At 49.1% G+C, this 25,964-nt stretch overlaps 1 protein-coding gene across 2 annotated transcripts, besides 16 other annotated features; it reads right to left on the bottom strand.

The window, feature by feature from the left end:
• Window positions 1,165–1,665: an enhancer, noted in NCBI's record as "H3K4me1 hESC enhancer chr7:127902350-127902850 (GRCh37/hg19 assembly coordinates)". NCBI's record gives its function as "activates a minimal SCP1, AML or CMV promoter by ChIP-STARR-seq in naive H9 embryonic stem cells {active_cell/tissue: H9 hESC(naive)}" and the evidence as "EXISTENCE:reporter gene assay evidence [ECO:0000049][PMID:30033119]".
• LEP (leptin) lies at window positions 6,333–22,684 on the bottom strand. 2 transcript variants are annotated; one of them, NM_000230.3, is made up of 3 exons: window positions 22,656–22,684; window positions 11,800–11,971; window positions 6,333–9,558 (listed from the first exon to the last, which is right to left on the bottom strand). In NM_000230.3, the coding sequence occupies exons 2-3, from the start codon at window positions 11,941–11,943 to the stop codon at window positions 9,199–9,201; spliced, it is 504 nt and encodes a 167-aa protein (NP_000221.1). In that variant the 5' UTR covers window positions 11,944–11,971; window positions 22,656–22,684; the 3' UTR covers window positions 6,333–9,198. The 2 variants fall into 2 exon arrangements, with proteins under 2 accessions (NP_000221.1, XP_005250397.1); XM_005250340.6 differs by having other exon boundaries at window positions 6,333–9,555.
• Window positions 22,656–22,902: a promoter, noted in NCBI's record as "-217/KpnI to +30 promoter". NCBI's record gives the evidence for it as "EXISTENCE:reporter gene assay evidence [ECO:0000049][PMID:8643605]".
• Window positions 22,656–25,606: a promoter, noted in NCBI's record as "-2.9kb/HindIII to +30 promoter fragment". NCBI's record gives the evidence for it as "EXISTENCE:reporter gene assay evidence [ECO:0000049][PMID:8643605]".
• Window positions 22,710–22,714: a TATA box. NCBI's record gives the evidence for it as "COORDINATES:motif similarity evidence [ECO:0000028][PMID:8643605]".
• Window positions 22,730–22,738: a transcriptional cis regulatory region, noted in NCBI's record as "CEBP site". NCBI's record gives its function as "responds to Cebpa to positively regulate transcription" and the evidence as "EXISTENCE:reporter gene assay evidence [ECO:0000049][PMID:8643605]".
• Window positions 22,790–22,813: a protein binding site, noted in NCBI's record as "HRE-1 (-116 HRE); HIF1alpha/beta site". NCBI's record gives its function as "mediates response to hypoxia to promote transcription" and the evidence as "EXISTENCE:protein binding evidence [ECO:0000024][PMID:12084725, PMID:12215445]".
• Window positions 23,297–23,326: a protein binding site, noted in NCBI's record as "HRE-2". NCBI's record gives the evidence for it as "EXISTENCE:protein binding evidence [ECO:0000024][PMID:17653093]".
• Window positions 24,197–24,226: a protein binding site, noted in NCBI's record as "HRE-3". NCBI's record gives the evidence for it as "EXISTENCE:protein binding evidence [ECO:0000024][PMID:17653093]".
• Window positions 24,225–25,140: a mobile genetic element, noted in NCBI's record as "LTR from HERVK-related endogenous retrovirus HERVK11".
• Window positions 24,230–24,635: a transcriptional cis regulatory region, noted in NCBI's record as "-1951 to -1546". NCBI's record gives its function as "mediates response to insulin to promote transcription" and the evidence as "EXISTENCE:reporter gene assay evidence [ECO:0000049][PMID:23718986]".
• Window positions 24,230–24,635: an enhancer, noted in NCBI's record as "-1951 to -1546". NCBI's record gives its function as "enhancer in JEG-3 and JAR choriocarcinoma cells" and the evidence as "EXISTENCE:reporter gene assay evidence [ECO:0000049][PMID:9374555]".
• Window positions 24,558–24,593: an enhancer, noted in NCBI's record as "PLE3". NCBI's record gives its function as "enhancer in JEG-3 and JAR choriocarcinoma cells" and the evidence as "EXISTENCE:reporter gene assay evidence [ECO:0000049][PMID:9374555]".
• Window positions 24,571–24,630: an enhancer, noted in NCBI's record as "60 bp core enhancer". NCBI's record gives its function as "enhancer in JEG-3 and JAR choriocarcinoma cells" and the evidence as "EXISTENCE:reporter gene assay evidence [ECO:0000049][PMID:9374555]".
• Window positions 24,578–24,613: a protein binding site, noted in NCBI's record as "PLE2". NCBI's record gives the evidence for it as "EXISTENCE:protein binding evidence [ECO:0000024][PMID:9374555]".
• Window positions 24,611–24,634: a protein binding site, noted in NCBI's record as "PLE1". NCBI's record gives the evidence for it as "EXISTENCE:protein binding evidence [ECO:0000024][PMID:10542267]".
• Window positions 25,206–25,239: a protein binding site, noted in NCBI's record as "-2548 SNP probe; binding preferred on AA genotype at rs7799039". NCBI's record gives its function as "mediates response to insulin" and the evidence as "EXISTENCE:protein binding evidence [ECO:0000024][PMID:19408304]".

Genomic DNA, 25,964 nt, shown 5'->3' with positions numbered 1-25,964 from the left:
AGCCAGTCAGAGCTGGTTTTGGTTCTCAATACAAAAGTAAAGGGTCAAAGGGAGTGAGTCTCTTCCTTCTCTCAGAAAGAAATCCAGACTGAGACAAGGTTCCAGAAAGCTGTCAGGAATCAGACAGGCCAGGAAAGAAAGGCTCAGAGCATTCCTGGAGGAAATCTGTTGTTTCTTCCTTCCCAAGACCCATTTCTCCTGCTTTTTGGTAACACACCCTCTTTTCCTTTGGGAAACTACCCTATCCCCATTCTCATTCCAAGTGCAATTGACCCCTTCCTTGGTTCGACTCAAATCTAACCAATCAGAGTACTGCATTTTCCTGGTCCCAGTGATTGGCTCAGCAATAGACATGTGATTCAAGCCAGACCAATGGGAGTCAGCTCTGGGGCTTTTGCCGGAACATTTAGGAAGGAGAGCTCTTTTTCCTGGGGAGTTGCCAACCTGGAAGGTATAGGACTGGAGTTTTTGATGATCACTTTTGCCACCGTCTAAGAATAAAGCCAATGCCAAAGGAAACAAAGCTGAGATGGAGAATGATTCCCGTTGACATGGTTTGAATACTGGTTCAACTGCATAGGAAAAGCAAGGCAAGTGAGGGTAAGCAAGTTTAGGATTGGCTAGTTTGAGTAATTTCAGTGGGCTCTGGAGCATGGGGGCTGGCTCTAGTTGTCTGGTACCTGGCCCTGGGAAGATTAGGGTAGGGGATAGTGGCCCTGAGTATGACAGCCCAATAGAGGAGGTGGTTGGGGTGTGGGCTCTAGATTGGTTGGTTTGCATTTGAAAGGTATGCACCCCTTGAGCTGTTTGCTATCTCTGGGAATTAGCTAACCCTGGGAGGATCGGTCCCTGCAGTGTCAGTGAGGTTCCAAGATGTCACAGCATCAGAAAATATAGGAAAAAAAAAAAGACCAACTAATACAGCTGGGATGGCTGGGGCTGGGGCCTCTCTCCACAGGGTCGCTTATCCTCTTGGAGGCTAGTCTGGGCTCCTTCGCATAGTGGCTGAAGATTTCCCTGCAGCGAGAGAGGACAAGCCCCCATGGGCAAGCACTTTTCCAACCTTTGCTTGTGTCTTGTTTGCTGTTGTCCCACTGTGGCAAGCAGGTCACGTGGCCAAGCCCAGTGTCAGTGTTGTGGGGAGCCTACATCGAGGGCGGACACCAGAAGGCAGGGGTCACACCTGGGCGCCATTGCCACAGCAATCTGCCCACAGCCTGCCCCAGCTGGCCCTCCTATCGGAGAGTAGTTCTGATGGTACGACTAAGCCAAAGCTTGCCTTCTGCCACATTCTACCTGTTGATCCCCAATCTCCCTCCAGTCTTGTCCACATGACAGGACTTTGGCAACCATATCTGGCTTGGAATCCTCTAAGTGGACAGACTGCTGAGCATTCCACTTCCCCTCATGCCACTTCTTTGTACCCAAATGCAAAGGGGACATGGGGCATCAGCTCTTGAGGTTAGAGACCCATTCAGCCAACAGGTTGTACCTACTCTGTGTAAGGATCTAGCCTAGATGCTGGGGATCTAGCGGGAAACAAAACAGACCAAAAGACAATCCCTGCCTGCTGGGAGCCTACATTCTTTTTTTTTTTGAGATGGAGTTTCGCTCTTGTTGCCCAGGCTGGAGTGCAATGGCGCAATCTCGGCTCACGGCAACCTCTGCCTCCCAGGTTCAAGCGATTCTCCTGCCTCATCCTCCCGAGCAGCTGGGATTACAGGCGCCCACCATCATGCCCGGCTAATTTTTTTGTATTTTTAGTAGATACATGTTGGCCATGCTGGTTCTAAACTCCTGACCTCAGGTGATCCACGTGCCTCAGCCTCCCAAAGTGTTGGGATTATAGGAGTGAGCCACTGCGCCTGGCAGAGCCTACATTCTTATGGGGTAGATATTAATAAACAAATGTACAAGTAAAATATATGAAAATGAAGACGAGTGGATGGGATGAGGAACAGGAAAAAAATGACTATGATTTTTTTTTGTTGTTGTTGTTGAGACGGAGTCTCCCTGTGTCACCCAGGCTGGAGTGCAGTGGCGAGATCTTGGCTCACTATAGCCTCTGCCTCCCAGGTTCAAGTGATTCTCCCACCTCAGCCTCCCAAGTAGCTTGGATTACAGGTATGTGCCACCACTCTTGGCTAATTTTTGTATTTTTAGTAGAGACGGGGTTTTGCCATTTGGCCAGGCTGGTCTCGAACTCCTGACCTCAGGTCATCCACCCACCTTGCCCTCCCAAAGTGCTGGGATTACATTTGTGAGCCACCGCACCCAGCCACAATGACCATGATTTAAAGAGCTCTTCATCTCAGAGAAGGAGCAGGACAGGAGACTAATGGAGGGGGCTTCCGGCAGTGCTGGTGGGGAAGGTGGGCAGACCTGTGGGTGAGCCCTGGAGCCAGTTCTGTGTGTGTGTGCATATGTGTGTGTGTGTGTGTGTGTGTGTGTGTGTGTACAGTCAACCCAGGCTGTAAGCTCCTCAACTTTAGGACACTTCCCAGCACTTTGGGAGGGTGAAATGGGAGGATCACTTAAGGCCAAGGGTTTGAGACCAGCCTGGGCAACATAGCAAGACCCCATCTCTAAAAAAAAAAAAAACTTAGCCAGGCATGGTGGCATGTTCCTGTAGTTCCATCCATTCAGGAGTCTGAGGTGGGAGGATCGCTTGAGCCCAGGAGTTTGAGGCTGCAGTGAGCTATAATGGCACCACTGCACTCCAGTCTGGGTGACAGAGTGAGACTCCATCACTAAACCAAACAAATAAGCACAATAAGAACAAACAAAAAACAACATTAGGATAGAGACATGGCCTGCAAGTGCATTTCCTAATGGATGTCCCTCTGGGGAGAGGTGGGGATGGGTGGGCAAGCAGAAAACGGCTGGAAATCTCTGTGTGTATGTGTTTGGGGCACAGATGGGGCAAGTAAAGAAATATCTATCAATCTCTGTCTTTGTATTTCTACATGTATATATATGTCACCTGGGCATTGCAAGTCAGGTTCTAATCCTCAGATGTGAGTTGTTTGGGGGCAGGTCTTATGAGGCTTCTAAGCGTCAGTTCTGTCATCCATTTAAATTGACTGAGTAAAGAACACCCTGACATGCTCCCCCAAGGCTGGGCTGGACCCTCAATTGTTCCATCCTGAAGTATGGTGGGGGTTCCTAGACTGTTTCCATGAGCCCCAGATCATTGCTAGGCTGTGCAGACCGGCTCCAGATTTTGGGTCCAAAATCCAGAGGCAAAGTCCAAGCCCATGAGAGGAAGGGAGCCCCCACTTCTATGATTGTTTCGGGCCTGCGTGGGGGAGGCTCTGCTCCATATGGCTGGCACAGCGCCTACAGCTCTCCCTCAGAGAAATGCGCACATTTTCTACACAGAAAGGGCGAAGCTGTGAGGGTTGGTGTTTCTCAGAAATTAAGGCATGAAAAGGGTGGGGCAGGGGTGCTTTTCTGAGGTGTGACTGGGGACATTTTCCCCAGATGGAACACCAACCTTCTGCAGGGAGGGTCCGTCTTTGTCTGGAAGCCTCCGGCGCTGGAGGGCCCAGTTTAGGCTGGCTGAAGGGAAACCCCAGAGGGAACGCTGGCAGGCCTCTGAACAGGCAGGCCCCTTGGTGGTTCCTTCTGCACTCTTGGAATCTCCTGGACTCAGGAGGATTCTGTCTGGGGTGGGTGGGGTAGGATGTGAGTAGTGACCTGCCCCTGGCCCTGGAAGGGGTCTAAGTAAGCAAGGGAAGAGATGGGATGAGCCGGCCACAGGCTGCTGCTGGATCAAGGTTGTGAAGGGAGAAATAGGAGCCTCGTTTCTGAGGCTTACAATGTACAATTTAGGGGTCATGTAGCTCCTGGGTAAATTACAATTTAGGGGTCATGCATAATTAATTACAATTTAGGGGTCATGCAGCTCCTGGCTCCAAGAGTCTGAACCTCCCCAAATTGCTCCTGGGGGTAAACAGCACTGTTGTAAAATCTAAGATCAGTGCTTGAGATATTTTGCAGAGCCTACACTCCATGGATAAGCTGACCCCACCCAGAGCAGTAATCTGGCCCAACCAGTTCTGCCATCGCACCCAGGAACAGAAGACATTAAGAAAACCTAACTTGACCGGGTGTGATTCTATCCCCAACCTGACCAATCAGCACTCCCCACTTCCCAAGCCCTTACCCGCAAAATTATCTTTAAAACCCCCTGCTCTGGGGAGACTGATTAGAGTAATAGTAAAACTACCGTCTCCTGCACAGCCTGCTCTGCATGCATTACTCTTTATTGGAATTCCCCTGTCTTGATAAATCGGTTCTGTCTACGCAGCAGGCAAGGTGAACCCATTGCGTGGTTACAAATGGTCTAAAGGCTTCTCTGCCTACACAGTGTTATTTAATATGGAGGAACAGCTGCACAGCAGGAATACCACGATGCCCCCTTGGGTGGGGGGAGTTGGCTTCTGTGGGACACCTGAGGCCCAGCAGGACTGGGGCAGAGCTTGAGGCCCTGATGTCTGCTGCTTTGGCTTTTTCCTGTGAGCTTCAGGACATGCCTCTCCCTGCCCCTTGCAGCTGGTTCTTACCATTCCTTCCTTGTTTGATTTGCTAAATCCCTGTCTTAGTTCACTGTTTCACACCCGCACTGACAGTCTGCTGTCCCCCCAAGGCCCTGGGACATCTGCCAGGCAGTGAAATCAAATGTGCTCTTTAAATACAGCTCAGCTCCACGTCATATTCTCCTTCTCCCTCTTCTCTCCCCACCTCCTCTCCTTCCTTCCCAGGAATGCAACATTGCCCAGGCAGGGGACGGGCCAGGCTGAACTGGACATTTCCAAAAAGTGTTTCTTCTGGAAATTTCACCCAAAAGGAAAGGGTCTGGTATAATGGACTCCCATGTATCTGTCACTTAGCTTTAGCAATTCTCAACATTTTGCTGATCTTGTTGATATATATATATAGATATATAGTTATTTATATAAAGTTTATATAATATTTATAAAAAATTATAAGATAAATTGTTTTGCTGAAGTTTTTTAAGGTTAATCCCAGGCATTGTGCTATTTCACCCTAAACTTCTGTTTGCATCTATCACGAATGCATAAGGAAGCACTGAAGAATAACTACACCACCATGCCATCATTATACCTAGTAAAATTAACTAGAATTTCTTATCAGCATCTGAAATGGAATTGGGACACATGTTCTCAGGAACTTCTGAGGTTGTGTCACTGGCAAAAAAGTTAGAAAGAAAGAAAGAAAGAAAGAAAGAAAGAAAGAAAGAAAGAAAGAAAGAAAGAAAGAAAGAAAGAAAACAGAGCCCCCATTTAAATTTTCCTCATCTCAAAGTTATCTTTTATACAGTTGATTTGGACCTCTATTTGAACTCAGAATGGTTTGTTGAACAAATTAAGATTAAGCGGAATACTAATAAGGAGTCTAACCTTTGATAGGTATGTTTTAAGCTTTTTGAATAATTTGCTTACATGTTAAATAATGGGCTTGCTATCCAAGAATCTCAATTTTTTTTTTTTTTTTTTGAGACAGAGTCTCACCTGCCACCCAGGCTGGAGTGCAGTGGCATGATCTCGGTTCACTGCCACCTCTGCCTCCCGAGTTCAAGCGATTCTCCTGCCTCAGCCTGCCAAGTAGCTGGGATTACACGCACGTGCCACCATGCCTGGCTACTTTTTGTATTTTCAGTAGAGATGGGGTTTTGCTATGTTGGCCAGGCTTGTCTCGAACTCTTGGTCTCAAGTGATCCACCCACCTTGACCTTCCAAAGTGCTGGGATTATAGGCATGAGCCATCGTGCCTGGCCCAAGAATCTCAATTCTTCTGGCCACCAAATCAGAATGGAGGGGTACATTGTGCTGGGCATTGTGCCAAATTAGTTGCATCATGAGGTGATGCTGAACTCTTTATTTCTTCTCTCTTCATTCCCCTCATCCCTCTTTCCCTGTGGATCCTGTCCTTCTTCCATCCCAGTGGATGCCTCTTTCTGTCCTTGCTCTGTCCCGTGTTAAGGGGCCTCTCCAAAGTGGATCCCTTCTTCCCGAGGACCCCTCTCTTTGTCCTCATTCCTTGGGATGGCACAGAGGCCTCTCTCTGGCTCTTGGTGTGTGCTTCCTGTGCCTCCCTGCAACCTGTTTCCCAGTCCTCTCAGCGTCCAAACCCAGCTCTGTTTTCTTTACAGGGTAATCCTTTTGCCTGAATAACTGGCGGCTGGCTGTGGCCAAGCCTGGGGCGGAGCTGACCCCAGTGATGGATGGGGGCCAGCCAGGCCTTGCCCTGTCACACACAAACAGCTCTCCCGAAGCCCCTCCAGGAACGGCGACAGGAAACAAAGAGCAGGGGGCAAAGTTATTTTATTTAGATTTTTTTAAAAACAAACTTTTTTTTTTTTTTTTTTAAGACGGAATCTCGCTCTGTCATCAGGCCGGAGTGCAGTGGCGCGATCTTGGCTCACTGTACTCTCCGCCTCCCAGGTTTAAGCGATTCTCCTGTCTCAGCCTCCCGAGTGGCTGGGACTACAGGCGCCCGCCACCACGCTCAGCTAACTTTTGTGTTTTTAGTAGAGACGGGGTTTCACCATGTTGGCCAGGATGCTCGCCATCTAGTGACCTTGTGATCCCCCCACCTTGGCCTCCCAAAGTGCTGGGATTACAGGCGTGAGCCACCGCACCCGGCCAAACTTTTTTTTTTTTTTTTAAGTTACAAAAACAGACAACCATTTATACTTAGGAAGTTTCACACTCTGGGAATTAGCCATTGTGCCAGGTTTTGTGAGCAAAAGGCTTAAGACACCTCAGCCTGATTAGGTGGTTGTGAGGATCTGGGTCACATTTTCCAGAGCAGCTCTCACCCTGGCCACAGCACCAGCCTCTTCTCTAGAACTTGCTACTCTTAACTCCTTTAATATCAAACTTCTTTACCCTTCAAGGTCCCTTCAGCATGGCCCTTGCCCTCCTGTCTCTTCTTTCTCTGCCTCTCGCTGTAACTCACTGCTCACACTTTTACCTCTGCATCTCCACACACCAAACCTTCCAACAAAACAGGCTTCTCTCTGCAGGCAATTCACATCCCTCACCTCCTTCAAACTCTACCTCGAAACTCCTCTTTTCCAGAAAGCGCTCGGTCTCCCTGGTTCCAGTCCCTCATTACCTGGCTCACGTAATGCTCTGGGTATCAGAGGACCTGGGCTATAGTCCTGGTCCTGCCACCTGTTGGCTGTTATGGTCTTATGTATTTTCTTATTTTTAAATTCTCAGTTATCTTGTTTCAAAGGGATGTGGCTATAATAGAAGCTAAGATGCCCTGAAAAGTAAACATGTTACAAAGTGCAAGCAGGGTTCCCTGTGGGCCCCTGGGCACGGCCCCCCTCAGCTCATACCATTTCCCACCTGCTGTCAACTGCACCATGCATTTGGCTGTTCAGCTGCTGTGGTAAATACCCCACCTTGGCACATGGGTGAGTGCGGTTTGACCACTGGGAATGCAAGATCCCTGAGGGCAGGCCTCAATCTTAATGTTTATTGGGTGAGCTTCTCCAGCCTATAGCACCAGTCAGGGCTGAGCATGAAGCAGGTGCTCAGTCTTAAAGTTAACTGCTTTGATTCAAGTTTCCTTGGACAGATCCACCACCCACTGTGTGATAGCAAAAACACAGCAGCAGGATGGTGGCAGACCCCAAACCTCCTCTTTCATCTTCCTGAATGTGACCTCCAGTGGGAAGGGCCATCCTGGTGGCCTGGCCTGGGGAGTCCTGGCACTCGCCTAGCAGTGCTTGTCAGGTCTCAGGACCACCTGCTAAAGGAGTTTTCTTCACCACTGGAGTAAAAACCCCCCAAGATTTTTGGTAATTTTGGCCTTGCTTGGGTGAGCCAATCAGACAAGAACTACAATTTGGCATGCAAGCCCCAAATAGGAACACTGCCATGTAATAAACCCAGAGTGTGATCAACCCTGGACCATTCAGAGGGTCACACCAAGGACCCCTGCTCTGAAGATCGCAGTCACCAGTGTGGGACCGTCACTCCATGATAGGAAAGACCACTCCCTAGCAGTCGGAGAAAGCCAGAGCTTACCACTGCCCCAACAAATGGCTTTCAGCCCTTTGCGTTTTATTCTGGATGGATTTGAAGCAAAGCATCAGCTTCTCCAGGCTCTTTGGGGTCAGCCAGGGCCAGAAACTTCTCTCCAGGGGGTGCCTGGCCAGGCCTCACAACCCCCCTGAAAGAGCTATTTTCATGAAAAACATCCTAAGCAATTGCAGAAGATAAGAAAATGATCTCACTCCTTCCAAAGAACCCACCACACAAATGTTATTCAGAAAACACATTCTAGATCCTTCTCCCTTCTGCCCAAACATTCCCCACCCCTGGGTGCAGACACCTACATATGACACTTGACAAAACAAATCTTTTTAAAATAACCTGGTCCTTGGAGATCCACTCAGGGCAACACCATTGCAAACACTGTGATGTAACATCAGTCACAGTAGAAATGAAACCAGTTACGAGAGAACTAACTGGAGAGCCACCTTTGCCAGCTCTTGCTCAGATGAACCCAACCCTCGAGTCACTCAAAATGGGTTCAGCTCAGCCAGACCCATCTATGGGATTGGAAACTGCACTCCAGGGAGACCCCTGGCCCTGGCTGACCCCAAAGAGCCTGGAGAAGCTGGTGCTTTGCTTCAAATCCATCCAGAATAAAATGCAGAATAAATAAACATGTGCTTCCAGCTTGTGTTGCTGGGAGTTCCTGCGTGTGTGGATGTGGTCTTCATGGAACTCCTTGGAATTCTCAGAGGGAACCTTGTTCTGGTCATCCAAAGGCTCTGCCTACCCCTCTGCCCTCTCTGAAATCACCCCTGGTCACATTGAGGCATTCAGTGAGGGGGAGATGGGTCAAGAGGGGACAAGACAACTCTTGTTGATGGCTGAAGACCTTGGTGGGAATCCCAGATGCAGCCCACTCTTTGCTGGGTGGACCCCCTTCCTGGTGAGAATAGGATCCTGTGTATATATCTTTGGTTTCAAGCAAAAGGAGGCTTAGGGTCTTATGCCTTTGGAAGAGTGGCTTAGAGGAGTCAGGGAAATTGACAGAGTCCTGGATAAGGGGTGTCCATGCAATGCTCTTCAATCCTGGAGATACCTGGAAGCCAGAGTTCCTTCCCTTAACGTAGTCCTTGCAGGAAGAGTGACCTTCAAGGCCTCAGCACCCAGGGCTGAGGTCCAGCTGCCACAGCATGTCCTGCAGAGACCCCTGCAGCCTGCTCAGGGCCACCACCTCTGTGGAGTAGCCTGAAGCTTCCAGGACACCCCCCAGGCTGTCCAAGGTCTCCAGGCCACTGGCCCAGGGCAAGTGGCAGCTCTTAGAGAAGGCCAGCACGTGAAGAAGATCCCGGAGGTTCTCCAGGTCGTTGGATATTTGGATCACGTTTCTGGAAGGCATACTGGTGAGGATCTGTTGGTAGACTGCCAGTGTCTGGTCCATCTTGGATAAGGTCAGGATGGGGTGGAGCCCAGGAATGAAGTCCAAACCGGTGACTTTCTGTTTGGAGGAGACTGACTGCTATGCAGGAGGAAGAGGGAGAACAAGTGCTCAGCATGTGGGAGGAATCGCTCTCAGAGCCCTCTGCCTTCCCCGTGGGCATGGAGGGTCATTCTCTGGGCTGCCTCCTTCCACCCTCCCTCACCACTTTGGCTCAGGCCCTTGTATCCTGCACCCAGGTGACTGCCAAGCCTCTAAGCTGGTCTCCGAGATTCCTGCTTTTCCCACACCATCCTTCCCTCCACTTCCAGGCCAACTTTCCTAGGTCATTCCTTTCTCTACATGGCCTCTGCTGAAGAACCAGCCATGGTTTCATATGTTTTATTTAGTGGAGTCTGTTCCCCAGGCATCTGAGGTCCTCCATAAGCACCCCCACCCCCAGCCTTCCCTAGTCCCTTCTACCCCCAGCCGAGTCCTCCCTCCCAGTCAGCTTTTCCAGGCAGTCCCTCCTCCTTAGAGATCAAGGCCGTACCCTCAGTGAGGCCCCCCAACCCTGCTCCAGTGACTCCAGTTCCGGGAGGCTCTCCCCATCCATCTGCCCACAGCACTGAGGCTGACACCTCCGTGGTTACTACCCGGGGCTCCCGTGATATTGTGTATTACACCACCCAAGGTGGGGCACTCGGGATCTATCACGTGCAGTCTTGCTGAGTGGCTAATATGCCCAGCTAATTTTTTTTTATTATTTTTAAAGGAGACAAGAGTTTTTATCTATAAAATGCCCAAGACTCTATCTAGTTCTGAGCCATCTTTGCTTCCAGACACCTAACTTCTCCCTAACTGCCCAAGACTACCATAAGACACCCACAATGACCAGGAGACGTGGAAGTCTCCAGAGAGCTCCATGCAGGGGGTAAGGAGGATTCAATTGCTTTAGCTAATTTAGGCCTCATAACAACCTTGTGAATAGTGTGTGATATCCCCATTATCCAGATGATGAAAACAAGGCTTAAAGACAGTAAGGAACTTGCTGAAGATCTCACAGACATCAGAAGTGTGAAGATTCAAACTTAATCTTCCTAATTTCAAATACAGACCTCATCAGGAAAATGGCTGAAGGTCTAGGCCTGCTGGACCCCAGAGAAAAGACCAGGGTGGGCACTGACTGCTATTTGCAAATCAGTAGAGGGTTGAATGTGAAAAAGGGTAGACTCGCTCTTTTGGGTATCTTTGAGCGGCAGGGCCAGAGATCAGCTGGAACTACAAGAACCCTAATGACAAGCACATCTAGAGATGGGATAGAGGCCCTGAGGAGATGCTTCTGGGGGTCTTGTTCCTGCCAATGGGACACAAGGAACTTCACAGCTCCCTCTGGTCGTAGGCACTAAGATTCAAGGAAGTGAAGTCAGGGAGGAAGGCGAGCGCAGAAGGTGGGGACAGAGGGGACAGGAAGGAAAGAGACAGTGGCTGTGCCTGCATGTGGCTCAGCTAATCGCTGAGGCCTGGGTTTCCCCTTGGTAGGTTGAAAATAAGCACGTGAGGCCTCATGAGAATCCTATGATTTTTTTCTTATCTTTAATTTTTATTTTTTTAAAAATTAGAGAGAGAGGTCTTGCCATGTTGCCCAGGCTGGTCTTGAACTCCTGGCCTCAACTGATCCTCCTACCTTGGCCTCCTAAAGCAATGGGCTTACAGATGTGACCCATCATGCCTGATCAAATCCTATGACTTTTATTTATTTATTTATTTATTTTGAGACAAGGTCTCACTCTGTCACCCAGGCTGGAGCACGGTGGCATGATCAGGGCCCACTGCAGCCTCAACCTCCCAGGCTCAGGTGATCCTTCCATCTCAGCCTCCCCTAGCTGGGACCACAGGTACACACCACCATGCCCAGCTAACATTTTTTATTATTTTTGTAGAGATGGGGTCTCCCTATGCTGCCCAGGCTGGTCTCGAACTCTTGGGCTCGAATGATCCTCCTGCTTTGGCCTCCCAAAGTGCTGGGATGACAGGTACAAGCCACCACACCCAGCCCAAATCCTATGATTTTTAAATGGAAACATGTAGCAAAATCAAATGTTCTTGGAGTGGTTTAGAATTAGAACCACTAACCCCTGGAATCTCAGCAGGCAGAGGGGCCAAAAGAAACAACCAGAAAGAGTGGAGCCCTGTGCTTTCAAATCCTTCTCAGCTTCCAGTAGGTGCCTGGCATTCAGGAGGCGTTCAATAAATGTTTCTTGGACTATCTGGGTCCAGTGCCACTAGGAGCCAGTGCTGGGCTGGCTGCAGTTCTACTTTGTCCCCGCATACTCTCCTTACCGTGTGTGAAATGTCATTGATCCTGGTGACAATTGTCTTGATGAGGGTTTTGGTGTCATCTTGGACTTTTTGGATGGGCACAGCTTGGACATAGAAAAGATAGGGCCAAAGCCACAAGAATCCGCACAGGGTTCCCCAATGCATTTTCCTTCCCAGGATGGGCTTCTTGGGCCTGAAAACAGAAGGAACCACACACTGCAAGGAGCCGGTATCTCAGAATACACCCATCTTCACATTACCAACCACATTACCAGACGGGGATGAAAATCAGCTTTGCTTTCTGCTCTGGCTACCATCCCCTCAAAGTCAAAGACAATTCATGATCTACATATGTATTAATGAAATGCATCCCCTTAGAAAGAGGATTATTGTCTGGTCAATAAAACCACCATGAGGTATCCTGTAGACCACAGAGCTGTGAGGCCAGGGTGTGATCAAATGGACATGGTAGGGATGATGTAGACTTCATTGCATGCTCGAGGGAAAGATAACAGACTTTTAAGGTCTGGTTTGAACCCAGTCATTTACTCACTGCATAATTTTAAACATATCACATAACCACAAAATACTCCACCTTCATCCCTGTAATATATCTATCTCTAGGCTTTTATGAGGATCAAATTATCTGATGCACGTGAAAGGGCTTAAAGGTGTTGTGAAATGTGCTCTATCATTACCCTATCATTAGCGATTATGCTACTCACCCATCCTCTGCATTTCTCCCTCACACCAGCCTGCTGATACTCTGTGAGGGCCTTTACCACTTGCTTCCTTACGTCCTTTCTCTCCCACCCACTGGGAGCCTGAATCCCACTAGCACTTACTGACCTTCTAAATAATATGTCAGACGCAGTGCTCAGCACCGAGGATGCAATGGTGAACAACAGATGCTCTCTACCCTCGAGTGGCTTACAGTTTAATAGGAGAAACAAACAGGTCAATGGGCCATTCTAAGCCAGGAGGAAAGAGCTTTGCAAAAAGGGCAGGTACAAGATACTACTGGAAGGCACAGGGGGCTCCCTGGAAGAAGTGTCTCCTGAGCTGGGGATTGGACTAAATATGGGCTACTAAGAGTAGAAAGTGGTTGCCATAGTGGCTGAGAAATCAGGGGGTATAAAGACATGGTGGCGGGAGAGAGCATAACACATTCACCCAGAACGCTTGAAACTTTCAAAGTCTTGGAACTGTGAATTCTAAAATTAAAATAATATGCAGATCCTTGATTAAGCAGCAAAATTTTAATGAGATACATGAGGCAAAAGGTAATAAAGTTAAATGTATGCGAGTCTGTGGCCAATGATCCATGCTAAGTATATGTGCATGAGCCTGAAATAATAATAAAATGTAAGTAAATATTAGGATGACGGTTCTGGAGATGGCAGTAAAATTAATCTCCGCTTTTCGTGTTCTTCCTCGTCTGGGTCTTGATGAAGACAGGTAATACATTTTCTGTCCATAGATGGCAATATTAGTAGGATTCATTTCTGGCAATACAATAAAAACAAGCAGTCTGTCTATATATTATTTATAATGTTTGATCAAAGCCATGTTTTTTTAATCTGAATTTCACAGAAGAGAAAAATATGGGGCTCAGGAATAGGAGTCAACTTGCCCAAAGTCAAACAGGTCCATGACAGAGTCAGGATTCAGATCCAGAAAGCAGGAGTGCGAGCCACCCACCCCTCCAGCTCCTCAAGGATTTAAGGAAAAGCCCAAATCACACCCCAATTCCCAGTCAAGGGCAGCTGCTGGGAACATGGCATTTGGAAACAAATACCCTGCTCTGGAATAAAGCTATGGTATTGTACCCACATCTCAACTTCAAACATGAAAAGTACTATGTACCAAGTAATTTGGGAAAAGGCAAATTTATGTCTTAAAAAAGTAAAACTTCCTCTATTAGCTACTTGTTACCTGAATAATACACCAAATGTTTGTGCAACAGAGTTAAATACTGCTAATCCCCGATACGAAGTCATGAAACCCTAGCAGAGATGGGCGGGTGTAGTGATTAGGCTCTGCGGCTCCAGCTGCAGGCTCCACTCTTGTTAGCTTTGTGTCTCCTGGCAAGATGCTTCCTTAAAGCATCCTTTCCTTTCCTCCTACCCAAGAGAATTTATTACCAGATTAACTGTGGTCATAGTCACTCTCAAATAATGGCCACCCTCTAATACCTAAGTGGAAAAACAGTTTTACAAGCCCCCTCTATCACCACTGATAATATGCTTCAGTGGATGCTGGAAATAAATTGTGGTTCCTTGAAAACATGGAGCTGAGAAGCTGCCGCTGAGTAAGGCTGCCTAATAGGAGAGGCCAGGTTTAGGAGAAACCTATGGGGGTCTGCAGAGAGAACTGGTAGCAGGTCCATCTGAGACCAAAGTGCTCGCAAGAATCTGCCCCACCAACACACAACACATAACACACATGCTCATACAAACATCACACACACACGCACATCAACACAGATCACCCTTTTAGTAGAGGCTGCTAGTCTTTCCCAATATCTTGTCTTCCGTTCTTCCCCAGTCATAGAAAACTCCAAGTCTTAGGTAGGGATATGGCCATCTAGAATAAATACTTTACTTCTCAGAGTCTCCCAACTAGGTGTGACCATGTGACTAAGTTCTGGCCAGTGAAATATAAGCAGAAGTGTCCTGTGCCAGCTCTCAGGAACCTGTCGTGTGCCTTCATCTCTTCCTTTTTCATCCCTTGCTCCATTCTGATGCCTGGACTATAGATATGGTAGCCAACATTCTAGCACCATCTTGAACCAGGAGGACAAAGACCTCACCTTATCAACTGCAGGGCAGGGAGCTGCAGGAGCTCGGTTCCTGAGGTTGATGGAGCTGAGATGCCATGCTGGTCTTGGACTTGTGCTGGGTGTGTGTGAGAGACATAACCTCTGCCTTTTAAAAGGCACTGTTCTTTTGGGTCTCTGCTAAATGCAGCCAAACTTAATGCTAACCGACTTAACACATGCCAACATGGGCATCAGAAAAGAGTGGGCATTAAGTCTTCCTTGGTTCACCTGAGTCTTAGTACCTGGGTGGGGCCTGGCCATGGCCCAAGAAGGGGAGGAAGAATGGCTGGGAGGAGCAGGGTTTAGGGATGAGGAGAGGAGGAATAATTCAAGGCAGCAAATAGTTGGTGCGAAAGTAACTGCCGTTTTTGCCATTACTCTTAAAAACCACAATTACTTTTGTACAAGCCTAATACAATTTCATTGAGCATAGTGCCTGACATACCATAATTACTCAATATAGGTTTGATGGTTGGTGGCTAACATGTATTGATCGCCCACTGTGGGCCAGAAACAGACATGAAAAAGATATGGAAACACAGGAAAGTGGAATCAGGAGTGGGAAGGGATGGGGCAGAGGCTGATGGCTTTCCCAGGGAAGCCTCGGTAGTGTACACAGTATTTGATTTTGTCAACTACTTACATAAAATATTTGTTAAAAATATAGGTAAAGAACAAAACTGTGCCCTTAAGCAACTGGTTTGAGAATTTACATATTTAACTTCATTGCAAGGAAGAACATTTATTTTTATTTATTTATTTTTGAGATGGAGTCTTGTTCTTTACCTAGGCTGGAGTGCAGTGTTGTGATCTCAGCTCACTGTAATCTCTGCCTCCTGGGTTCAAGCAATTCTCTTGCTTCATCCTCCTGAGTAGCTGGAATTACGGGCATGCACCACCCAGCCTGGCTAATTTTTTTTTTTTCTTTTTTAGACGATGTTTCCCTCTTTTTGCCCAGGCTGGAGTGCAATGGTGCAACCTTGGCTCACTGCAACCTCCACCTCCCGGGTTCAAGCCATTTTCCTGCCTCAGCCTCCCAAGTAGCTGGGATTACAGGTGCCTGCCACCATGCCTGGCTAATTTTTTGTATTTTTAATAGAGATAGGATTTCACCATGTTGGCCAGGCTGGTCTCGAACTCCTGACCTCATGTAATCCACCTGCCTTGGCCTCCCAAAGTGCTGGGATTACAGGTGTGAGTCATCACGCCCAGCCTCATTTTTTTGTATTTTTAGTAGAGATGGGGTTTCACCATGTTGGCCAGGCTGGTCTTGAACTCCTGACCTCAGATTATCTGCCCACCTCGGCCTCCCAAAGTGTTGAGATTACAGGCGTGAGCCACCGCATTGGGCCTGAGCCACTGCGCCTGGCCAAGGAAGAACATTTAAATGAAGAAATGCCTTGGGTGACTCAGCAAAGAAAGTCATGGTGCTTAAACTGATGAATGCTAGAGTTCCTCAGAGCTATGCTTGAGTCAGAGCACAGGGCCCTAGGAAAGTGGCTAACCTCTCTGGGACTCAGTTTTCCTGGCTATCAGATGGGGATGATATGAATCATAATGCCACCTGTCGATGTTATGTGGCTGAAATGAGATAAAGCATGTAAAGTGCCAACTCCTTGCCTGGCACGTAGCCAACCCCAATGCCTTAGCTGTTATCACCATTATTTCCAGCAGGGGAATCAGGGAGGCATCATGGAGGAGATGGCATTTGATAAGGGACCTGAGAATGGGTAGGAATTGAGTTTGTGAAGGTGGAGGAGAGGGCAGCCCTGGCAGAGGTGGAAGAACACAGGTGGGTTTAGGAGATGGTGGCTTCCAGCTGACACCAGGGTGAGGAGCCGGGGAGGGCTTGGGCTGGAATCGCAGGGGCAGTGAGCACCAGGAAGGGAGGCAAAGCTTTCCCTTCTGCACCCTGAGGAGCAAATGTTTTCAGCCTGGCTGACTAGAAGGATGGAGATGGAAACTAGGAGAGACATGAGGAGAGATTTTGGAAAGAGGTGGTTGGGCTCCTGCTGATGTCCTAGTACTGGCTGGACATGCTGGTGAGCCTGCCCAGCTGCCGCTTGGAATTGGAAGTCTGAGCTCAGAGACAAAGGGCTGCAAATGTAGGACCCAGGGGCCCGCTGCAGCTGTGGCAGGAGAGCATGGGGAGAGCATGGGTTGGGGTGGAAGAAAGGCCGCGATCAGCTGTCTGCCTGAGCTGCAAAACCTCTCTCCAGAAGTTTCCAAAGCAGTTTTGAACATTTAGGAGCTGCCATTTTCTTAGAGTTAAAAGATGAGCTGCTGAAATGTTGATACAGCATCATTCTTTCCTCTGAGTGCTACTGAAGCAGCTCCTGGAGAGGAGAGGGGTCTCTAGGAAGATGGTGGGCTCACAGTGGGCTGTATGCTCATTTGGGACGCAGCCTGCACTCTGCTGTCTCCCTCATGGCCCACTTCTCTCTGCACTCCCTGGGCTGCCCTCTCCACAGGCTGCCTTCCTTCTCCTTTAATCAAGGCCTGGCTGCCCCATCTTCTACCCTCATCCCTTGCCATGGGTACCCTGGAGAAGAAATGAGAAGAGTAGAATGTGGAGCCCCTGGAGCTGCACAGATGAAATGTGGCTGGGTGTGGTGGCTCAGCCTATAATCCCAGGGCTTTGGGAGGCCAAGGCAGGAGGATCGCTTGAGCCCAGGAGTTCAAGACCAGCCTGGGCGACACAGCAAGACCCCATCTCTAAAAAAAATAAAAATAAAAATAAAAATAGCTGAGTGTGGTGGCAAACGCTTGTGGTCCCAGCTACTTGGGAGGCCAAGGTGGGAGGTTTGCCTGAGCCCAGGATGTCGAGGCTGCAGTGAGGTATGATCACACAGTGCACTCCAGCCTGTGTGACACAGCAAGACCCCATCTCTTAAAAACAAAAGCCAAAAAAGATAATGAAACAATCTCAGTAAACAGGGCAGCAAGAGAGGCTTATATAATGTGCCATCCACCCCACCACAAATTCTGCTGTCTACCTCCACCTGGGTCCTCTGCACCAGCCTCACTGTTACTTATCCTCAGGTGGACCCCACCCCCATCCTCACTTGGCAGTTGTGTGCAGGGCCCGCACCCCACCCTCCACCTCCTACCTCCCTAAGAAGCTGGTGGCCTCTAGACTTGAGCTCCATCACCTTCCCACCATTGCAGGGGACAAGGCAGATGGAGGCAGACCCTCCATCCTGGGGACCTCAATGTCAAAGTGGGAGTTAGGATGGGCAGAGATGTGTGCTCCTCTTTATTTTTTTTATTTTTTTATTTTTTTATTTTTTTTTTGACGGAGTCTTGCTCTGTTGCCCAGGCTAGAGTGCAGTGGCGTGACCTCGGCTCACTGCAACCTCCGCCTCCCGGGTTCAAGCGATTCTCCTGCCTCAGCCTCCTCAGCCTCCCGGGTAGCTGGAAATACAGGCGCCCACCACCGCACCTGGCTAATTTTTGTATTTTTAGTAGAGACGAGGCTTCACCATCTTGGCCAGGCTGGTCTCAAACTCCTGACCTCGTGATCCACCCGCCTCGGCCTCCCAAAATGCTGGGATTACAGGCATGAGCCACCGAGCCTGGCCCATCTGCTGCTCTTTAGATCCAGGCTGGAGGGCCTCCTGAGCCAAGATTAGGCCTGCCCACAGCCCTCTGATGACATCAATGGGGAGAACAAAGCGAGTCTTTTGTATGCTACTGTGAATTAAATTCAGGTAACATGGTATTTGCTATTAATTATGAGGGAAAAGCTTTAGCTAGTCTGAGTCCTCTCCCTATACACATTCTCCTGTGGGATCCCCTCCTGTTCTTCCCTCCCACCCTTCCTTCCTTCCTTTCTTCATAACTCCAAGTTGGAAGGGACTTGGGGATGAGAAAAGAACAAAGGAGGAAATAAAGGCAGCGAAGTTTGGATCTTCGTTCTCCAAGTTGCTCAGAATCTAGTGGAACAGACAGGACCTTGAACAACTCATTTTAACACAACCTGGTGGGAGTTATGAGGGAAGAAGCATAGAACCCAAAGAACAAAGGGGAAGAGGGACTCCGGGGATGGGAGGAGAGCTTTGCAAGGGAGGCAGTGTGTGAACTGAGGCCTGAAGGACAGGCGTTCCCCAGGGGAAAGAGGGGAAGCAGGGCATTCCAGGCCAAGCTCCGGAGTTAGGGAAAGCCATAGTTGGTTTGGGAAGATTCAATATGGTAGAGGGGTGGAGTGTGTGAGGCTGGAGAGCTAAAATTTTGCGGGCTTAAGTCTGTTTAGTAGGGACCTCCTGGGAGATCTAACCTACCCAAGAGACACACATACACACACACAGACACACACACACACATACACAACCCTTGATGGCTATGTTTGCATTTACACTCCAGCCCCCTTGGCTACAATTGCCTGGCCAGTGGTAGGCAAGAGACGAAGAGGCTCTTCTCTCCTCCCTTTCCTCCTCCCTTCCTTCTCCTGACCCTGATTGGGTCAATCAACTTCTCTCTTAGGAATTTAGAGTGGGGCTGCAGAGAGTCCAGTTCATCTCTGTTGAGGGCTCAGAAGCTCTAGGGTAGCCACATTTGGCCTCATATGCATGGAACAGCTGAGAGAGACCAGAGCCCACATAGCCACTGAGCCAGAGTATGGTCACCGCCTGTGCTCCTTCCTAGCCTTCTTTGTGGTTCCTGGGTCCTCGTGAGGCCTGGTGGCCCTCCCTGTCCTTAGCCTTCAGGGTGAGATACTCTTTTCTTATACTCACTTGGATAGCTTTCAACTTTCTAAATATATTTTTCATTTGAGACAGATAGATACATGTAAGAGAAATAAGTGTCAAGAAGTAAAATTCACCCTTACCGTGGGTAATGCACTCTTGAGAGTCTCGGCTCTTTTTTCAAATGTTGATCACAATAAACAATTTGAAAAACACAGGGCCAGCGTGAGTGATTTTCTCTTATTTGCAACCAAAAGCCTCATTTGAGAAATCGTGTTAACATATGTAACCAGCAGAGAGGGTGTGAGTACAGGGGTTACATTCTTTCTGTTCATCAGAAAGATCTGATCTCATCAGAGATACAGATAGGTTTCTACTCCTGTTTCAGCTCTAATCTGTGTGTGTGTGTGTGTGTGTGTGTGTGTGTGTGTCAGGGTCTTGCTCTGTCACTCAGGCTGGAGTGCAGTGGTGTGATCAAGGCTCACTGGACCCCCGACTTCCCGGGCTCAAGCAATTCTCCCACCTCTCAGCCTCCCAAGTAGCTGGGACTACAGGTGTGTACCATCACATCCAGTTACTTTTTTTTTTTTTAATAGAGATGGGGTTTTGCCATGTTGCCCCAGCTGATCTGGAACTCCTGGGCTCCAGTGATCCACCTGCCTTGGCCTCCCAAAGTGCTGGGATTATATGCGTGAGCCATGGTGCCTGACTTCTGATCAATTGTTGAGGCTCCCTCGAGCTCTGTGTGAGGGGCATCTGAAGCTCCAGCAAGACTCAGAAGGAGAGGTTGCCCTGATCAATTAATGACACCTGTATCTCTGTACCTGTTCCAGCATCTATCACAGGCCTGGAACACGGCAGGGCTTCGTTAAATATCTGTTGCATGAATAAATGAAAGATTTCCCATTCTCGATCTGCATTGGCTAACTAGGGTAACCTGCCTCCTCAATGGTTCGCTTGCTCCCATCTTAAAGTCGCATCCTAGAATTCACTTTGGCCCAGCAGGAATTCTTACGGAGTTGTCTTAATAAAGACAGAAAATGCTTCAGCGTCCAGGTCTCCCTCTCTTGGGGACCTTGGTCTGCTTCCTGCACTTCCTATGTGCCCTCTAGCACCCAGGTGGGCCAGGATTCCCTTCAGCTTCCTAAGCTGTGCTCCATCTTGACTGCCGTCCCTGGATACTCCCGCCCGTGGCCCCTTTCATGAGCCTGGCTCCTGCTCCTGCACTCTGGGACCCCTCCCCTTCTCAGAGACCCCTGCCCTGCCCTCCCGTCTTCTCTGCGGTTTCTCTTCTCTTCCTTGGCAACCCCCCAGCCTGGAGCACCCCAGAGCAAATGTAATGTACACCCAGATGGAGACTAAATCTCCTATGATATTAGTGAAATGTTGGTATGGGCATTGATTATAAATTCCATTCCATAGAGCTAACAAACTGAGCAGGAAAGACGGTAACATGCTGTCTGCTAAGCAACGAGGCACATTGGCTGTCACACGTGGAATAAGTGCAAAGGAGTCTGTGGGCCCAGACACCAAGTGTGTTGTTTTTAAGCAGAAACAACCTCTCTGTTTCTCTGAGACAACTGTGTGGACAAAGAAGAATTTCAAGGCTCTCTGCCGACTGGCCAGAATGGAGCTGCGGCTGCCAGACTCCTACCCCGGTGGGGATGGGGTAACTGACTGCCGGAAAATTTGGCTCAATTTTCCTTTAAATCATACCAGTGCTGTTCACAGATGCACAAGACACAAGGACTCTACCTTCCTGGAGCCCCTCTTCTCTCCTTGGCTCCCACGCCCCTGGTGGCATCTAAGCGGGGGTGGGACATTGACCCAGGTTCCGTGGCGGCCACCTCCACGCTCTGCATGGGCCACTCAGACGTGCAAGGCATCTGCCTGGGGCTGACGGGCAGGAATTCATTGCAACTTCCCTGGCTCTGTCCTTGGCACTTGGAGCCATTTCCTGGAATGGACGGGGAGGAAAATATTTCCCCAAATACCAAGAAGAGTTATTTTGGGTATAAAATGTACAAAATATGAGGAGGACGCTCCTTTAGCCAATGTGGAAATGTTCCCCTCAGCCCAATGTCCACAACTGCTTGGGAAGGGAAAGAACCTAAAAGCATCCACTGTTTCTCTCTTGCCTTGTCTCCCTGCCTAAGTGAGAGAAATGATCAGTGTGGCCTTCTTGTTTCTAAGGGCATTAGAACAGGAGCACTCACGTTGCTAGAAGCCTCCATATCTGGTTCTGCAGACAATCCTAATATGAAAGAGATTGGCAAAATTCCCCAGTTCCAGCTGCCCATGGCCCACCTCAGAATCCTACAGAACAAACACAACTCCGGCTGCCAGAGGTCATTCTGCACTGCAAAGGAAGAGAGCCTGTGCTCCTGGAACGGTACCACCAAGTCTCTGCTCTTCACCCACCTCCCCAAAGATCACCCTTCCAACAGAAATTAATCACCTCTTGGAAGCTGCTATTCTGAAATGACAGCCAGGCCACTTGTCTCACTTGGACCTAACTGTATTTAAGGAGTCACTTTCCCAAAGCACCACTATCTTTAAACTATAGAAACAGGAGTGTAAAGGCGATGGCACCCACAGTGAAATCCAAACCAAGCCCAGACTGAAGGAAGGCTATAGGTGAGCCTGGTGGGCCAACAGCGCGTATTTAGCAGTCCTGGCTAGAAGTTCCCTAATAACCAGTTCTGACCCCCAGAGACACCTCATTGTATGCATTGCAAAGAAGGCAATTTGCATGGCTTTGAGGACAGATCTGGTAAGACCCTGCACAATTTCTCTGGAAGATTTTGAGTCTTCCTGACACTTGTTTCCCCCCACCTCTACTCATCCTTGCCTTCCTCCCAGGCATTGGCCTTACACAGCCCCTCTCATTCAGAGGTCAGGAACTTCCCTGGAAAATGAATCCTGAATTCCTACCCGCAGAGCAAGGCAATGTCTGGGACTGAGACTGATCACTTGCATCTGCGTCTCTCCTACCCCCAACTTTATCTCCTTCAGACTGGGGTGGGACATCCTGATCTTTGGGGATGTGCCCAAGGCAATTTCCAATGCATCTCAGCTCTGCGAATGCCACCAGGTTGGTGGGTCTGACAGTCTCCCAGGGACCTGGCTGGTTCTGCAAGGTCCTGCCTTCTGGGCACCGGCACAGCCCAGCAGCAAATCCAACGCTCCCCAGCTCCCGGTAACCTTCTATCTGGCTAGAACTCGGTACAAAGCTATCATAGTCCAGAACTAAGCCATCCGCCCTGCATCCCTCCTGACTCAGTTTCCCCGGGATCCAGAGTTGTGTGGGGCCCTGTGGCCTGCCAAGAAAGACCAGCAGAGAAGGAGGAAGGAGCGCGCCGGGGCCTTACCTTGCAACCGCTGGCGCTGCGATTCCTACGGGGCTCCATGCCTGCCCGCCCCTCTTATAGCGGCCCGATCACAACTTGCGCAACTGCCCCGCAGGCCCCGGCGCATTTCTAGCGCCAGCTCCCGCCCCGCCCCTCAGGGTAGCGACGTGCCGGGCGGCTGCTAGCCCTGGGCCCGCAGTGTGCACCTCGCGGGGCCTCGAGGGAGGGCCTCGGCGCGCCAGGAGCCACGCGCGCACCCTTGGGTACCTCCCAAAAATTTGGGGGTGGCTGGTAGGAGCGAGAAATCCTTGATGTCCCTCCAGAGGCTCCGGCGCGACTATGGCGCAAGGACCAGCCCCTTGGGAAGGTGCTTCGAGCCGCGCGGGGCGCGGTCGGGGCGGGGGTGGCTGTGAGGGGCTCCGCGGAGCGGGCTGGGGCATACGGCTGCGCCCTCGTTGGTCCTGGCGCGGCTTCGGGGTGGGAGCGAATCGGGACTCGGCCCCGACGGCCCTGGACGCCAGGGAAGCCCAGGGTTAGAGGGAGCGGCCCGCAGTGCGCCAGGCTCCCCGACCCAGATTGCGGGGTTGGGGGTTCTGAAGTCCCACCCCTTCTCTGGCACGCGGAGAATCGAGTTCCAAGCCTCAGGGCAAGTTGTCTCTGGCTGGCACCCCAGGGAGTGCACGCTCTCTGGAGGGCTCCAGGCGGGCACTGTGGCCTTTGGGGACACTCTGGACATACTGTGGGTCTCCATCCTCAACTCCGTATTTCCTACGTACAAAGTGGGGGTTGGGGGGTGGTCCCAGATGTAGCCACGTTTTTGTCATCATAGCCTGTGAGTGGTGTGGTAGGCATGTTTCACCTGTATCGTTTGTAGTTCCCCGCTTTACATGATGGGTTGGTTTGTTTTGTTTTGTTTTGTTTTGTTTTACCCTTGGGCTTCAGGGATGAGGAATCTAAGGTCCAGCGAGGTTAAATGACTTTCCTTAGAATCCACAGCTGGTAAGGAATAGCAATGGGCTAGGAACCCAGGCCTATTCTGGTCCCCACTGCGCAGAGCAGCTCCAAAAACAAACCACTCCATTGAGAACCAACCCAGCCAGGCGTGGTAGCTCAAGCCTGTAATCCCAGCACTTTGGGAGGCCAAGGTGGGTGGATCACCTGAGGTCAGGATTTCGAGACCAGCCTGGCCAACATGGTGAAACCTCATCTCTACTAAAAATACAAAATTAGCCAGGTGTGGTGGTGAGTGTCTGTAATCCCAGCTACTTGAGAGGCTGAGGCAGGAGAATGGCTTGAACCTGGGAAGTGGAGGTTGCAGTGAGCCAAGATCAGACCATTGCACTACAGCCTGGGCAACAAGAGTGAAACTCTGTCTCAATAAAAAAAACAAAACAAAACAAAACCCATAACATAAAGCGGGGAACTGCAAATGACGTTGGTGAACCGAGCCTGCCACTGCCGGGTTTGGTAATGCCCAAAAGCTAAGAATGGTTTCTACATTTGTAAAAGTTTGAAAAAAAAAAATCAAAAGAAGAGGCCAGATGCAGTGGCTCATGCTTGTAATCTCAGTATCCCACGTTGGGCACCAGATATTGGGGGAACCTGCCCCCAATATTTCAACGTAGGTTCTTTCTATTTTCCATAAGTGTCAGCTGGCTGAGAAATAAAGAGAGAGAGTACAAAGAGAGGAATTTTACAGCTGGGCCGCCGGGGGTGACATCACATATCGGTAGTACTGTGATGCCCACCTGAGCCTCAAACCAGCAAGTTTTTTATTAAGGGTTTCAAAAGGTGAGGGGGTGTAAAACAGGGAGTAGATCACATGCTTCAAAGGGCAAAAAGGAGAACTACTGATAAGGGTCTGTGTTCAGCGGTGCACGTATTGTCTTGATAAACATCTTAAACAACAGAAAACAGTGTTCGAGAGCAGAAAACTGGTCTGACCACAAATTTACCAGGGCGGAGTTTTTCACCACCCTAGTAAGCCTGAGGGTACTGCAGGAGACCAGGGCGTATCTCAGTCCTTATCTCCATTGCGTAGGATAGACATTCCCAGAGCGGCCATTTATAGACCTCCCCCCAGGAATGCATTCCTTTCCCAGGGTGTTAATATTAATATTCCATGCTAGCAAAAGAAATTAGCAATATCTCTCCTACTTGCAGGTCTATTTATAGGCTCTCTGCAAGAAGAAAAATATGGCTCCCTTTGCCCGACCCCGCAGGCAGTCAGACCTTATAGTTGTCTTCCCTTGTTCCCTAAAAATTGCTGTTATTCTGCTCTTTTTCAAGGTGCACTGATTTCATATTGTTCAAACACACATGTTTTGCAATCAATCTGTACAGTTAACACAATTATCACAGTGGTCCTGAGGTGACGTACATCCTTAGCTTATGAAGATAACAGGATTAAGAGATTAAAGCAAAGACAGGCATAAAAAATTATAAAAGTATTATTTGGGAACTGATAAGTGTCCATATTAAAATGAAATCTTCAAAATTTATGTTCCTCTGCCACGGCTCCAGCCGATCTCTCTGTTCGGGGTCCCTGACTTCCTGCAACATCTCAGCACTTAGGGAGACTGAGGCGGGAGGATCAGCGCAACCCTGTCGCAAAACAAAACAAAAGAAGAATAGTTCTCATGGGAAAATTACAGGAAATTTGCATTTCTGTGTCTATAAAGTTTTGAATTCTGTCAACAAAAAATTGTGTAAATTGTTTATTCTTGTTGTATAAGTACCCATGTAATATCCTCAATTTTGCCTTGGCTTAGAAAGCCTAAAATGTTTTCTACCTGGCCCTTTAGAGAAAGTTCCCAGCCCTTGAACCAGGGAACACACATACATTGCACATTGATTCCTCCAGGCCTTTTTTCTTTCCAGTCCGTCTGTGGGGATGCCCAACTGTGCATCCATCGCTTCTCCCGGAAGAATCTCCCCATTCCACTAGGGCCTCTCCATCCTTAAAGAAGCTTTTCCTAGTTCCCCTTGCAGCTAATTCCTGTCTCTCAGTCTGGGTTGGGTGCCCCTTTCCATCTCCTCCCTTAGGTTTTAAGAGGACAGGGATTGGGCCATCAACTGTTTCAGTCCCGGTACTTTTCCAGTGCCAAGAACACATGGGTGCCCAGGGAAAATTTGCTGAATTGAACCCCAGGAACAACACACACCATAGAGATGATTTTTGTTATGTGTTATATTCATGTACCACTATACAGGGATTCCTCTAGACGCAAGGCCACTGGGAAGGTAAATGTTTAAAACTTGGGAAAACACACCTGCAGTGATGATGCGGAGGGAACAGGAAAAGCCAGGATCACACAGGTCCTGGAGACC

The sequence above is a fragment of the Homo sapiens genome, chromosome 7, assembly GCF_000001405.40.
Source record: "Homo sapiens chromosome 7, GRCh38.p14 Primary Assembly".
NCBI lineage: Eukaryota > Metazoa > Chordata > Mammalia > Primates > Hominidae > Homo > Homo sapiens.
Note: the sequence above shows the minus strand (reverse complement) of the source record. Positions and strands in the feature narration are given on the sequence as shown.